The 15,137-nt window shown below is 42.9% G+C and overlaps 1 protein-coding gene across 11 annotated transcripts in view; it reads right to left on the bottom strand.

Annotated features, from left to right (window-relative positions):
- The window catches only part of SLC1A2 (solute carrier family 1 member 2), a 169,303-nt gene that overhangs the window by 140,578 nt on the left and 13,588 nt on the right, over positions 1–15,137 (bottom strand). The window contains exon 1 of one of the 11 annotated variants that reach the window (XM_047427442.1): positions 12,537–12,790. The exons of 8 other annotated variants lie outside the window; for them this stretch is intronic. Coding sequence is in view for 1 of the 3 variants with exons in the window: in XM_047427437.1 (XP_047283393.1) it covers positions 7,793–7,803 (11 nt within the window). In the remaining 2 variants the exon portion in view is untranslated. Of the gene's footprint in view, positions 1–7,792; positions 7,813–12,536; positions 12,791–15,137 lie in introns of those variants that run through there. 2 more of the 11 variants (XM_047427440.1, XM_047427437.1) reach the window with 2 other exon arrangements.

A 15,137-nucleotide genomic window follows, 5' to 3' on the forward strand; every position in this document is an offset into this window, starting at 1 on the left:
CAGTTAGGAATTTTCATTAAAACAGCTTGCCTTTCACTTTCAACCCTCAAACCTAAGGACTTCAAATACTAGATTTGGTAACTCTGGATATCCAAAGTCACTTTGGGGGAAAAAGGAGCGTAGGAAAGATTGCAAATATTTAGCAGGGCTATTTTTGAATCTCTTGATTTAGGCTAGAAGTCCAATGCGCTATCCATTGCACCACAGAGCCTGCTTGCAAGCAGGGCTATTTTTAAGTGAAAAAGCTAATAACAAAATAGTTTGCAGAATGATACCTTATCTTGATAAATAAATAAAAATCACCCTTATCGTCCCATTCCATGTGTTTGTGCACGTGTGTGTGTGTGTTTTGAATATTATTCTCACAGGGTATTTGGAATTCTTTTTGCTTACACATACTTTTAAGTGTTTGTACAATTAAAAAAATGCATTGCTTGCGTAAGTTTTTGTTTCCTGGTTTAAGGTGCACATTTTTGGTTTTATTTTCTAAGTACATTGCTGAGCTTTCGCTGATTTCTACATAGGAAGACACAGAGAATGTGAACTCACCCAGATACAGAGGAAAATCAGGGTCTTTCAGGACTCGGACGGGGAGGGCATCCAGCAAAAGTAGGGCTGCAGCGCCCCCATGTGTCCAGGGCGGTGGAAGTCACCAGGAGTAGGCGGAGGAAGCCGGCTTCTGACATTTGGGGGAAGGGGACCTGCCTTCTCTATTGCGAATACTATTGGGAATTCCCAGAGTCAATCAGCAGTTAAATGCTTACTGAGTTTCTTATTCATACTCCATCTTGCCAGACCAGAAATCTGAGAGAGCTGGAGCTCCCAAGGCCCACCCTTTGGCTGCCTAAATTAAGACTCCCGGGGTTCCCACACTCTTTTTCCCAATGGCAGTGGAGGGTCTTGGGAAAACTGTCTGGAGGGAATGCCCCGAGTCCTCCTCCCAGTATCTGTTCAGGCTTGGCACCCTTAGGACCTCCCCTTCTGGAAGATTCAGCAGTGCATGTGTATGCTTGGAGAGGGAGGGTGGATAAATGTGGCATGAATCTATTTGGAAGGTTTTATACATCTTGAAGTCTCAACTTTAGGTGTTTCAGGGGGGTATTAAGCACACCAGGGCTTAAATCATAGAATATTTCAAAATAGCCACCTTTTTCCAAGCACCTATATACCTATATGTTCCAGCACTGGTCAAATGACAGATGACTATCGTTACAACCGTCCAAGATAGGTGCTATCATACCTACTTTATGGTGGGAGTCTATGAGGAACCTGAAGCTCTGAGAGGCCAAGTCATTAATCCAGTAAGTATCTGGTCCTAGATTCAAACATCTCTATCCTCCTTCTTGGTGCCAGGTGTCCCATGTGAAGGTTTGGGTCAGAGTGTGGTGCTAGCAGGTGGCAGAAGCCCAAGATGCATCATCACCCAGGGTCTCGGGCTGCTGGCCTCCATGCAGCTGCCAGATGTGGCTGTATCTGTCTTCCAGAGGGCTGTCCTTAACGCCTAGCAGAGCAGCAGCCTCTCTGTAAGGATCTGTTTAATGCATGAATGGCACCGCATTTTATTGCAGCTTGAGCTGGTCCCAGGAGACTCTCCTGATTTCTAAAGCTGCCACTTTGAAGACACAGGCCAGCCCAGCTCCTGACTTCTCCCCACAGTGAATGCAGGAGGCTCTTCCCCGGTCATTTTAAAGCTAGATGGCTGCAGGTGACCCATAGCACCCATATCCCCCAGTGTGTGGCATCTGACACCCCCCTCTTCACTTCTTTCCACTGCCTATTGTCCTGAGCAGAGATGGCAAAACAATTCTAAACTGGTGTTCATTGCTAAACCTTTAATTGAATTAGGATTTGGCAACGGGCAATAGGCATTCAGACAAAATGTGAAAGGATGTTTTACAAATGTGGGAAAAAAGTCACCAACCACTTTTCCTCCCAGCTTTGAACATTTCCTTCAGTGATTTTTGTCTCCCCCCATCCCCAAAATAGCCAAATAAAAATTTATAAAAATCAATAAAGCAAGTGTCTTAATGGTGGTTTGCTCAAAATGCTCTGGTTTTAAAGAATGGGAGAGAATAGAGACTCCCTTTTATCACTCTGGGCTTCTTTCACCCTTTTCCTCTTCTTCCCTGTGGCTTTCTGCTGGTGAGAATGGCTAAAGAAGGTCCCACGGCCCTTGAAGCTCTTCTGTAACCATGATGGAGCATTCTCCAGTCCCCTCCTAAAGGAAAAAGACTGATCTGTTCAACTGAGCCCTTCCTTCCTCCCTTGGCAATTTTCAAGCTCCCTCCTTTCTATCACCTCCTTTTGCCCCAGCCCTTGAACAAACCCCAGCCCCAACCCTAGGGTCTAACTTTTTTTTTAAGTAAACTCCTCCTACCCACCCACCAGCTACAGGCAGCAGGGGAGTCCTGGTTTTCTCATGATGTTGCAGCAAAGGCCTGAGGTCCACACTCTGTCTCCCACGTGCCTTCAGCCACGTGTGGAGGGATCAAAGACACATCAAAACGGGTCTCCAAAGCCTCAACCTGCTGCTCAGTCACCACCGGGATCTGCCCCATTGCTCTGGGTGGCTGTGATGTTGGTGTCCACAGATGGGGGGACACACCAATTTGGCAGCCTGAGCCTGCTGGAGTGAAAGGCCGCTTTTCAAAAATATGGAAGTGCAAATAGCTCATTTAACTCCCCTGATGAAAAAAAAATCCCTAACTTTGGTCAAAAGAGCATGAACTTTGGCCTTTAGAAAAACGACCAAATGACCCAGCCAAAACAGGCCAAGTAGGCTGACCCCTTCTGTTTCCTAGAGAATTCACTCCATTGTACCACCTTCAGTTTCTCCTAGTCAGCTGCAAGGCCACCATCCCACCAGTTAAGGATGGGATGGAACCCCAGGTAAGCAAACCTGTAGGTCTGACCTAGTCAGTGGGAGTGGCCAGTGCCAAATGGCCTGGAGGCTTGGAGAGGCACAGTACTGGGTGCTGAGTCCCATTTCTGTTGTACTGTTAAGCCGTTGGGCACGACATGGCAGCTGAAAGATGAGGAAAGGTCAAGGCACAATAAAGACAACTGTTCTTCTGTGGCAGACAGAGAATACAGCTGCAGGTATGTTGCCTTCTAGAAAAGCATTTCTCTCCTTGGTAGGTCTGGAAGGCAAGTGTCCTCGGAGATCTGTATGCCCTGTGTGCTAAGCGTGGGTCAATGCTCAAAGGATCCCAGAGACCCCCGAGGAGAGCGTCTTCCCCACTGGTGCTCCTGGCCATGCTATCCATAGTGATTAACTCAGACTTCAGGAACACCCCCCAATGAACAACAATGGGCTCTCCCTGAGTAGGGAGGGCAGTGGGGATCCACTGTGGACAGGAGTGGGAGTTTGCCCCGTGGAGGACTGAAAGAGGAGCACTTACTCTGAGGAGGACAGACCTCAAGCCATGCACCAACACAGAGCTAATCTCTCAGGTGACTTCCTGTCAAAAGTTTAGGAGTGTTTTTTTTTTTTCTCTTAACTTCTGAGAATAGCTATTTTTAAGGTTCTCTCTCTCCCTCTCTTTTTAATCTTTGATAAAGTCATTGTATGTGTGAAGCTCTGGGGAATTAAGGGACAGGAGAGCAAAGGGAAGTGTAGCTCTTCCCACATCACCCCTCCACTAAAGACTGTCCAAGGGAGCAGCACAAAGTCAAGGGAAGGTAAGAGACCCCAAGACCCCAGCATAGCCAGCACCCGGAAGGAGAGGCCCATGGGGAGGTGACAAACACAGGTAAAGCAGGCAGCAGGCAAGTCTCCTAAAGCTTCCATACTGGGTGGGAAGAAGCAAAGCTCCGAATATACCTGAGCCACAGTCTTAGACGCTAGGTGGGCTGCTACGGACTGAATGTTTGTGTCCCTCCAAACTTCTTTTTTTTTTTTTTTTAATTATACTTTAAGTTTTAGGGTACATGTGCACATTGTGCAGGTTAGTTACATATGTATACATGTGCCGTGCTGGTGCGCTGCACCCACTAACTCGTCATCTAGCATTAGGTATATCTCCCAATGCTATCCCTCCCCCCTCCCCCCACCCCACAACAGTCCCCAGAGTGTGATATTCCCCTTCCTGTGTCCATGTGATCTCATTGTTCAATTCCCACCTATGAGTGAGAATATGCGGTGTTTGGTTTTTTGTTCTTGCGATAGATTACTGAGAATGATGATTTCCAATTTCATCCATGTCCCTACAAAGGACGTGAACTCATCATTTTTTATGGCTGCATAGTATTCCATGTTGTATATGTGCCACATTTTCTTAATCCAGTCTATCATTGTTGGACATTTGGGTTGGTTCCAAGTCTTTGCTATTGTGAATAATGCTGCAATAAACATACGTGTGCATGTGTCTTTATAGCAGCATGATTTATAGTCATTTGGGTATATACCCAGTAATGGGATGGCTGGGTCAAATGGTATTTCTAGTTCTAGATCCCTGAGGAATCGCCACACTGACTTCCACAATGGTTGAACTAGTTTACAGTCCCACCAACAGTGTAAAAGTGTTCCTGTTTCTCCACATCCTCTCCAGCACCTGTTGTTTCCTGACTTTTTAATGATTGCCATTCTAACTGGTGTGAGATGGTATCTCATAGTGGTTTTGATTTGCATTTCTCTGATGGCCAGTGATGATGAGCATTTTTTCATGTGTTTTTTGGCTGCATAAATGTCTTCTTTTGAGAAGTGTCTGTTCATGTCCTTCGCCCACTTTTTGATGGGGTTGTTTGTTTTTTTCTTGTAAATTTGTTTGAGTTCATTGTAGATTCTGGATATTAGCCCTTTGTCAGATGAGTAGGTTGGGAAAATTTTCTCCCATTTTTTAGGTTGCCTGTTCACTCTGATGGTAGTTTCTTTTGCTGTGCAGAAGCTCTTTATTTTAATTAGATCCCATTTGTCAATTTTTTCTTTTGTTGCCATTGCTTTTGGTGTTTTGGACATGAAGTCCTTGCCCATGCCTATGTCCTGAATGGTAAAACCCCATTGTCTCAGCCCAAAATCTCCTTAAGCTGATAAGCAACTTCAGCAAAGTCTCAGGATACAAAATCAATGTGCAAAAATCACAAGCATTCTTATACACCAACAACACACAAACAGAGAGCCAAATCATGAGTGAACTCCCATTCACAATTGCTTCAAAGAGAATAAAATACCTAGGAATCCAACTTACAAGGGATGTGAAGGACCTCTTCAAGGAGAACTACAAACCACTGCTCAAAGAAATAAAAGAGGATACAAACAAATGGAAGAACATTCCATGCTCATGGGTAGGAAGAATCAATATTGTGAAAATGGCCATACTGCCCAAGGTAATTTACAGATTCAATGCCATCCCCATCAAGCTACCAATGACTTTCTTCACAGAATTGGAAAAAACTACTTTAAAGTTCATATGGAACCAAAAAACAGCCCACATCGCCAAGTCAATCCTAAGCCAAAAGAACAAAGCCGGAGGCATCACGCTACCTGACTTCAAACTATACTACAAGGCTACAGTAACCAAAACAGCATGGTACTGGTACCAAAACAGAGATATAGATCAATGGAACAGAACAGAGCCCTCAGAAATAACGCCGCATACCTACAACTATCTGATCTTTGACAAACCTGAGAAAAACAAGCAATGGGGAAAGGATTCCCTATTTAATAAATGGTGCTGGGAAAACTGGCTAGCCATATGTAGAAAGCTGAAACTGGATCCCTTCCTTACACCTTATACAAAAATCAATTCAAGATGGATTAAAGATTTAAACGTTAGACCTAAAACCATAAAAACCCTAGAAGAAAACCTAGGCATTACCCTCCAAACTTCTTATGTTGAAATCCTCACCCCCATGGTGATGGTATTTGGAGGTGAGTTTTTGGGAGGTGATTAGGTCAGGCAGGTGGAGCCCTCATGAATGGAATTAGAGCCCTTATAAAAGAGCCCCAAGAGAGACCCCTCACCCCTTCCACCAGGTCAGGACACAGTGAGAGGGCACCATCTATGAGGAAGTGGGCACTCACTAGACACCAAATCTGCCAGCACCCCGATCTTAGACTTCCCAGGCTCCACAACTATGAGAAATAAACTTCTGTTATTTTTAAGCCACCCAGTTTATGGAATTGTGTGACACCAACCCAAACAAAGACATGAGTGAACTCCATTTTCTTCTTTCTCCCAGTCTTTAAAACTCACAAAGCATATTGTGAGATATGACAGAAGGATTGCTGGTCCAGCAGCCAGCAGCACAGGCAGGGCTAAAACCTGGGTTTCTCAACATGCTTTGACTGTGGTCCTCAGGATAACAAGGGGACTGGAACATCCTGAGTCCATCCACAGTGATGACAAGTAGAGAATCATATTGTGCCTCACGAGACATGTAAACCTACTTGGCTCTCATTTCCAAACTTCACATGCACTGGCCCCTCTCACTTTTGAAGGGGATAGAAAAAAAATATGATCTGACATGGAATTGACCTAGATGCCCATCAATGGTGAAGTGGATAAAGAAAATGTGGTACATATACACCACAGAATACCATGCAGCCATAAAAAGGAATGAAATCATGTCCCTTGCAGCAACATGGATACATCTGGAGGCCATTATCCTAAGCAACTTTAGGCAGGAACTGAAAACCAAACACCACATGTTCTCACTCATAAGAGAGAGCTAAACATTGAGGACATATGGACACAAAGAAGAGAACAACAGACACTGGGGTCTACTTGAGGGTGGAGGGTGGGAGGAGGGTGAATATCACAAAACTACGTATCAGGTACTATGCTTATTAACTGCATGATGAAATAACCTGTATACCAAACCCCTGTGACATGCAATTTATCCATGTAACAAACCTGGACATGTACCCCTTGGACCTAAAATAAAAGTTGGAAAGAAAAAAATATATATGGCCTGAGTTTGATCAAGGAAACACAGCCCAAACTTGAAGCACTACTAGGAAATGGTCCATTCATAGGATACAAAGCCTACAGCAACAGCATATTGTGTTAAGTAAAGGCTACTCAAATACATATTTGGGGTCCACAGTTTATCCAGGAATAGAAAGTCGTACCGCTGCCCAACTGCGTCAGAGGGGCAATGTGAGGAGGCTTAGCCTCCACTCCATTTACTCAGCTCTGGTGCTGTGAAATACATGAGAATAAGCAGAGGGTGTTTCAGCAGCTTCCTGAATGGGAAGGAAGGATAATACACTAAACCCTGCATAAGCTGCCTATGGCTGGGTCATTAGGGATTCTAGGAGACACTTCATTTGAGAGAGTTTATTTGCATCAGCCTGCCAGTTACTCACAAAATAAAAATGTTTGGTTTGGAATCTGTTCCTACCAGTCTGGAAAAAGCAAGCCTACCCACGGTTGCCTTTCACATGGACTTCCTACTCTTCTTTCCTCTTCCTCTTGCCCCTACCCTGCTGTCCTCCCAATTTAGTCCCTCTTTATCCCTAAGGAAGTCAAGAGTTGGTCTTCACCAACACTTAGCCTCCTGCAACTGCCTCCTAAGGCTCATGGGACACTAAAGCAAGCATAGTTAAGTACTCTAATTATAAACAGCTTGAGCTTGACTTACCCAGATAATGAAGCCATTTTGTATGATTTTCCCTGATTGATTTCTCTAAAAGATTTCCTGTTCTCCATCACACTTTGTTATATAAATGAAGAACCATCATAGAATGTAAATACAAAATCTGGAGAGCCACAGCAGGAGGTAGAGCTAGGAGAAGGAGGAGGCAATGGTGGGTCTTGAGACAAGATAGTTACGAACATGAGAATCAAACCTGGTAATCATGATGCCTGCAGATAGATGATGCGTTTTCCATTTGTATGCGGAGTATTCAATCATCTATTCCTACTCAAAATAGAGGGGATATTCAGCTCTTTCCATCTGCAGGGCCAAAAAGAAGAAACCAGCCCTGAATAAAGTCGGGAGCCACCATTTTAGAGAAAGTACTCAGTAGAAGAAAGCAAAGTTCTTAGAAATACAATGTGAACTCTGCACAATTACAGAAAGAAATTAGAGAATGTGCTACAGTTTACATTTTTAAAATGACAATTTCAACATAGGGTGATGTGGGATGTCAAAGATTAGGGAGCTATAAACAGCCAACCTAGGAACAAAAAGCTCACCAAATACAGAAGAAAGATTTTTGTTTAGCCTAAACCTGGCTGAAGATTTTGCCATGTAATGAGGAATTCAAAGTCAACCCCAGAGCCATTTGATATCACAACTGCAAGTAAGAGACATAGCGGTAAGGGGGACTCAAAAAGACAACTGCATTGGAGAATCTCCTGCCCCTTCAGACACTGGCTAATTGGCAGCATGTGTCAAAATAATGAGTATGTGTGCCATTTGACCCAGTGATTTCCCTTCTAGCAACCTACCCTAAGAAATAGTGAGACAGGTCAGCATAGGTGTACATGCAAAACGTTTATAATAGTGAAAAATTAGAAACAAGCTAAATATCCAACAATAGGAGATAGTTTGTAAAAGTCATGGTACCTCCAAAAAATGAAAACTATATACAGCCGTTAAACAAGTTTATAGATTCACTTATTAACATACATTCACAACACATTGCTAAGTAAAAATTGTAGGTTGCAAAAATCTGTAGGTTATGCTCCCACTATAAAAAATGTATTGACATGTGTACATGCATCTGAAATAAAATATACCAATGTTAAAGGCATTTATTCCTGGTTAGTGAGATAAGTATTGTGGAGTTTTTGAAGATCATGCTTGTGTCTAATTAGTATAGATTTCATCTATGATGAATAAATTCGTTATGGATAAACTCTCCATCCTTACAGAATGCTGCCTTAATATGGTTTACTCCAGCCACATATATTATAGGTATATCCATGAAAAATCAATCCCATGAAAATTTCTAGAGGGATAACTTTTTTTTAAGTCTAACTACTTGATTCTCCTGAAAAATAATCAAATAGAAGTCTTTTAGTGTTTACTGGTGAAAAGTGTCAAACTCTGTAAAATATTTGAAAAGATTTATTCTGAGCCAAATACGAGTGACTATGGCCCGTGACATAACCCCAGGAGATCCTGAGAACATGTGCCCAAGGGGGTTGGGCTATGGCTTTGTTTGTTTACACACTTTATACATTTTGGGGAGACATAAAACATCAATCAATACATGTAAGATGCACATCGGTTTGGTTCCAAAAGGCAGGACAACTGGAAGCAAGGAGGTGGGTGGGCGGGGCTTCTATGTGATAGGTAGGTTCAAGGATTTTCTGATTGGTAATTGGTTGAAAAAGTTTATTTAAAGACCTGGAATCAATAGAAGGGAGTGTCTGGGTTAAGATAAGGGGTTGTGGGGACCAAGGTCCTTATTATGCAGATTAAGTCTCCAGGTAGCAGGCTTCAGAGAGAATGGACTGTAAGTGTTTCTTATCAGACTTAAAAATGTGTCAGACTCTTAGTTCTCTCCTGGATCAGAAAAAAAGACCTGGAAAAGGAACAGGATTTTCTACAGAAGGGAGATTTTCCCCACAAGAGACAGCTTTTGCAGGGCATTTCAAAATATGTTGAAAATATATTTGAGGGTAAAACACTTTGATTTCTTTCAGGGCCTGTTATCCGTCATGTTGATATCTTATTGCTACAAAGAGTCTTTTTTGTCAGTCTTAAGGTCTCTTTTAATGTTAATGCTAGTCAGCTGTACCTGAATTCCAAAGGAAGGAGGGTATAATGAGAAATGTTCAACCACCCATCCTCATCATGGCCTAAACCAGCGTTTCAGGTTTGCTTTAGAATGCCCTTGGGTGAGAGGAGGGGTCCACTCCGTTGCTTGGGGAGCTTAGAATTTTATTTTTGGTTTACACGTCCTAGCTGCATACTATTTTTTTAATGTTTTATTTCAGAGATGAGCATTTTTTTTCTACACCACATGGATTCCCTTTATCCACGTACCTACTCACCTGCTGATTGTAACATTCTGTCACATGTTTCTCAAACTCATCTTGGCCTTCCAGATGCTTTAAAGTGTTGGAAACCTTAAAGCGCCATATTGGTGGGGGTAGACCCTCAGTGTTAAAGGAAACAACAGTCATCCAGTCCACCCCCTACTTCCAAGGCTCGGGCCCTCTATGATGCTCCTGCCTAGTGGCTGCCTGTCCTAGGCTTGAAATATCTTTTACTTCCTGTGCCCCCACCCAACATCACCTGAAACAATCAGTTATATTTTTAGAAAGTTTGTGAATGAATGAATGAATGAATGAGTGGAAAGTCAGGCACTCGTTGCTTGGGGAGACTTTGATATTAGAGGGTTGTGATACAATAAAAAATAAATATTTGGTCTTTGTCCCAAGTTGCTGGCACATAGCTAAAACCTTTGGGTGACTTTGGTGTGCGAATGAGATGACCAGTGGCTGGGGGCCCCTAGATAGCTTCAGGATGGGGACTGCTCACCAGAAAGACTAAGGATTAGAACTTTCAGTGCCACCCACCAAATTCCAGGGAGGGGAGAGGGGCTGGAGATTGTGTTAATCACCAATGGTCAATGATTTAATCAATCATACCTAATAATGTACCCTCCATAAAAATCCCTGAACAATGGGGTCTGAAAAACTTCAGGTTGGTGAACACATCCAGGTGCTGGGAGGGTGGCCCACCCAGAGAGGCATGAAAGCTCCGAGCCCTTCCCTGATACCTTGCCCTATGCATCTCTTTCACTTGGCTGTTTCTGAGTTGTATCCTTTATAATAAACTGGTAAATATCAGTAAAATGTTTCCTTGTGTTCTGTAAGCTGCTCTAGGGAATTATTGAACTTGAGGAGGGTGTTGTGGAAACCCCCTGAAATTAGAAATTACAGCCTGTCAGTCAGAAGTACCAGAGACAACCTGGGACTTGTGACTGACACCTGAAGTGAAGGCAACCTCATGGGACTGAGCCCTCAATCTGTAGGATAGCCATAGCCCAGGTGGATAGCATCAGAACTGAACTGACTTGCAGGACACCTGCCTGGTGTCGGGAAAGACACCACGCATTTGGAGTTAGAAGTGTTGGAAGTAAAAACAGTTATGGATTAAAAGCACATAAGAGAAAAATCTTCAAACAACCCTTCGCTAGAGCAAATACAGCACTCAAATGATCAAAGAAGCCCAGGGCCTACTTTCTAATCTTATCACCTGTGGCTCTATGGAAAAGAATTAGCAAACATACCTTTGGGTATGCACCAAGTGTTAGCAGCCTAATTTGCAAAGTCAAGAGACTGATGGATAACCCCATCTAAGCTCAACAGACTAAAAGTAACACAGTACTGCTATTCCAAGAAGAACAATGACAATCAACATTATAGGTATCTTCCAGGTCCCAGGCACTATGCCGAACGCTTCACACACATCCTGCTTTCATCCATTCCAAAACCCTATCAGGTGGGTGATATTGTCCTTATTTAAAAGATAAAGAATCTGAGTCTCAGAGAGGCTAATTAACTTCCCCAAAGTCACACAGCTACTGAGTGGTGGAACAGGAATTTTTGCCTAGGTCTTTCTGAGTATAAAACACGTCTTCTTAACTGCTGTGCAACACTGGCTCAGAAGCTGTTTTATGAAAGTATCTCCTTATGAGAATATTCTAGTGCACTGCCAGAAGGCAGATTGTCTCAAGGTCATCTGTCATCTTTACCATGTTCACTGTCACTGGTAAGAGGATTTCATGCAAGCCTGCACATGTGTGGCTGCCCTGTAGGACTGGCTACATAATGTGTGGGTCTGCACGTAATTTGGGCAAAATGAAATCTTGAGACCCCTTGTTCAAATTAAACATTTCAAGATGATAAGAGCAGAGCATTAAACCGTGGACTGCCTAAGTCGCATATCCATAAAGCAGGTCCTGCTTCCCAGGGTTCCTATGTTTATGCCCAAATAATCTAAGATTGTCTTGAAGGAGAAACCAGAAATTCTTGAGGTAAAGAACTCATCCAGTGAGCTCTTCGGCTGCATGCATTTATTTATTCAACAAATATCCTGTGATCTTATGACATGAGAAACTCAAGGATTAATTTAATGCCCCCTAACCAGAAACTAGAGCCACAGCTGGACAGAATCCTGATTTTCCTGTTCCCTAAAAGCAAGGGAACATCTTCATCTTGCTGGCTTGGCTCAGCAGCTTAGCTCAAAGGCAAAGAGGGAAAGTCCTCTCTAAGCAAACATATGGACACGTGGATCAGTCTCTGCTCCTCCACGGGCGCCTCCTAAGGCAGTGTGCCCTTTACCAAAAACACAACGTTTTCACACCTATTTTAATTTTGTTGCTTGCTTCCCATTGGGTTAAAAGCTAGACTTTGGGGGTGGCTGGTAAGTCATTTTGAAAAGAAATACCTGTTTTCATGCCTCCATTCTTGTGTTGTTGATTTTGGGGCCTTTCCAACCCTTTCCAAATGTTTTTTCAATCCCTTGAGTGTCTAGGCTTCCTGCTTTTAAGGCCTCCCTTCTAACCCAGGGTTGCCCCATTCACCTTAAAACATTTTTCAATAACCCAGAAAAAACCAGGCTGAACATACCCAAGCTCCGGAACCAGCAAATCTTGTTCGAACCCCGCTGATGACTCCCAGGGGAAGCCAAGAGGACAAAGACAAGGATGAGGACGAGGACCCAGGACCCGCTGGTGAATGGCAACTGCTGTCAACTCACTTTCAACCTCAGCCAGTTGTCCCAGGTGTAGCCTTGGCCTCCAGAGAGCTGGTCCCCGGTTGTTACTCCAGGTCACTTGGAATGTAAACAAAGTGGTTGGGCTTCCCTTCTTGGAAACCAAGACAACAGCTGGTGCGGGGCCTGGGAAAGAGGTAATTTGCCCTCTCGCTCTTCCTTCAAAGCAGCAGGAAAATCACCATGGTTCAGAGGTGTGGCTCCACAGTGCTCCCTGCTGGGCAAATTGTTCCCGGTCTGTCTGACCACTGGACAATCACGTGTGAATTTTGTGTTGAGATCTAGAGTTTACTTGCCTTGAACCCCATTGACAGTCTTCAGAGGGAGAGAGAAAGCAAATAAAGTAAAAATGAAATCTGTATATGCTTGGTTCTCGCAACTAACAATGGCTTCCCTGTCAGAGCAGACGAGAAAACCCAGCATCTCGGCTTTGACTCTACTTTCACTTCAAAAACAGCAGTTTGAGTGCCCTGGCTCTGAATCTAGGAGGATTCTAGCATTTTCCATAAGGATGATGAGGATAGCTTCAGCTGAAGACTTTCCCATAAGGCTCAGGAAGGGGATTTTATAAACTGATCTTTCATCCAATCACAGGACTCGCACTGTGAGGACTCGCAGAGTCAAGAAAGAAGATGCCAGCCATGGTTTTTCTTCTCTTATCCCACCAGGATGCAATAAATATCTCCCAACATGTCCAGTCACCAGAAAACTCCAGAAAAGAACTCCATTTCAGGAAATATAAGAATAGCTAACATTTTTATTTAGGTTGCTGGAAAACACACATACCAACTACAAGGTATTATTTCTAGACCCATACAAAACCAGAGTAAGGGAACTCTATTGAGACTGATTAAACATACTAAGTGTCTCTTTAATAGTTAAAAGATCAATTTAACAACAACGTTGTCTGCTTCTGGTAACTTTTCTTTTTCTAAATCAGTTTTCAAGCCCTGGATTTTTTTTTTTTTTTTAACTAATGTAATTGAAAAATCTGCTTTGACTTAAGAAATTCCTTCTTTGTATCTGAATATCAAATTCATTCTAGCTTCTCCTTGTTTTCCTTTACAAAGAACAATGGAAAGGAATAGACAGACATGATTCTGAGAGGAGGCAGGCATCCTGGGAAAGACAGAGGATGGGCTCAAAGATTCTTTTCTGATGAAATTTCATTGCATTTTAAAAGAACTGCAGATACAGGAGTTTGTAATTTTCCCAGACAGCTGCATGGGGACATGAATGACTGTGACAAATACATTTTTGGCTTCACAAGATGAGCTGCTTCCCAACTGATTATTCTTGTAACCTCCTTGAACCCTATTAACCCCTAGCAAAGGGTAATTATTGACTGGTAGGCAGGAATGGGGATGTTCAATTGACCACCAGAACCTTACCAAGATGACCATGACCCAACAAGCAAAAGGAAATGTTTTCTCAACCTTGGATCTGTTGCCTCCCACACCTGTTCCCTTCTGTCGTCTCTATGCCCTTGCATATCTCTTTTGCGAGGTAGACAATTCAATTATACTAACATTCATCGTGATAATGATAATAAGATGAGGCACAAAGAAATTAATGTAACCCTGATCCTCAGAGAGATACCAGGATAGTGAACAGACAGACAAGAAAACACTTAGCACACTCTGTTATGATGAGTTGCTATGAGAGAGGTCTGAACAAAGTGTAATAAGGACAGACTCCCTGGAAGAGGCACAACTCAAACATCACCTCTTCTGAGAAGCCTTCCCTCCTTCTCCAGGCTGACAAGGATGAGAATTCAGCCAACAAATGCTTACTGAGTGCACTGCATTAGGATCTAGGAGGACATGATGATGAACTAGTCTTCAAAGTGCTTACTTTGTAGATACAAACAGACAGATAAATAAAATATGTAAAAGTTGTAATTGATGCAGTGAAGGAAGCAAACAAGGGGAATGAGGTAGGACTAGGAAAGAGAGACCTATTTTAGGTGGAATGGGAAGAGAAGGCCTCTCTGGGAAATATTATTCAAGCTGAGGACCAAAGCATGCTCCAGGATCAGAGGGTGCCAGTCATCTGTGGAATGGTGGTAGGGTAGAAAGTGGTTCTGGAAAAGAGAATGCAAATGTGGGCAAGACCATGGGATATCTGAGGAACTGAGGTAGAAATTAGTAAGCTTGTAGGTTGAGGCTGAAGGAAGAAAAAAAAGGCAGGGTTAATACCAACATTTCTGGCTTTGAATCTCTAAACAGATAGAATTTACTGAGATGGGGAAACTTGGGAGTGGGTACAGATGAGTTTGTAGGGAAAAAAAAATCAAGAGTTCCATTGTACTATGATAATTTCCAGACATCTATGCATTGCACAAATGGAGACATCAGTTAGGTTGTAGGATATATGAATCTAGAACCTAGAAAAAAGGCCTGAAATAGAAACATACATTTGGGAGTTATCAGGATACATGTGCTATGCAAATATCC

The sequence above is a fragment of the Homo sapiens genome, chromosome 11 (genome assembly GCF_000001405.40).
Source record: "Homo sapiens chromosome 11, GRCh38.p14 Primary Assembly".
NCBI classification, from domain to species: Eukaryota; Metazoa; Chordata; class Mammalia; order Primates; family Hominidae; genus Homo; species Homo sapiens.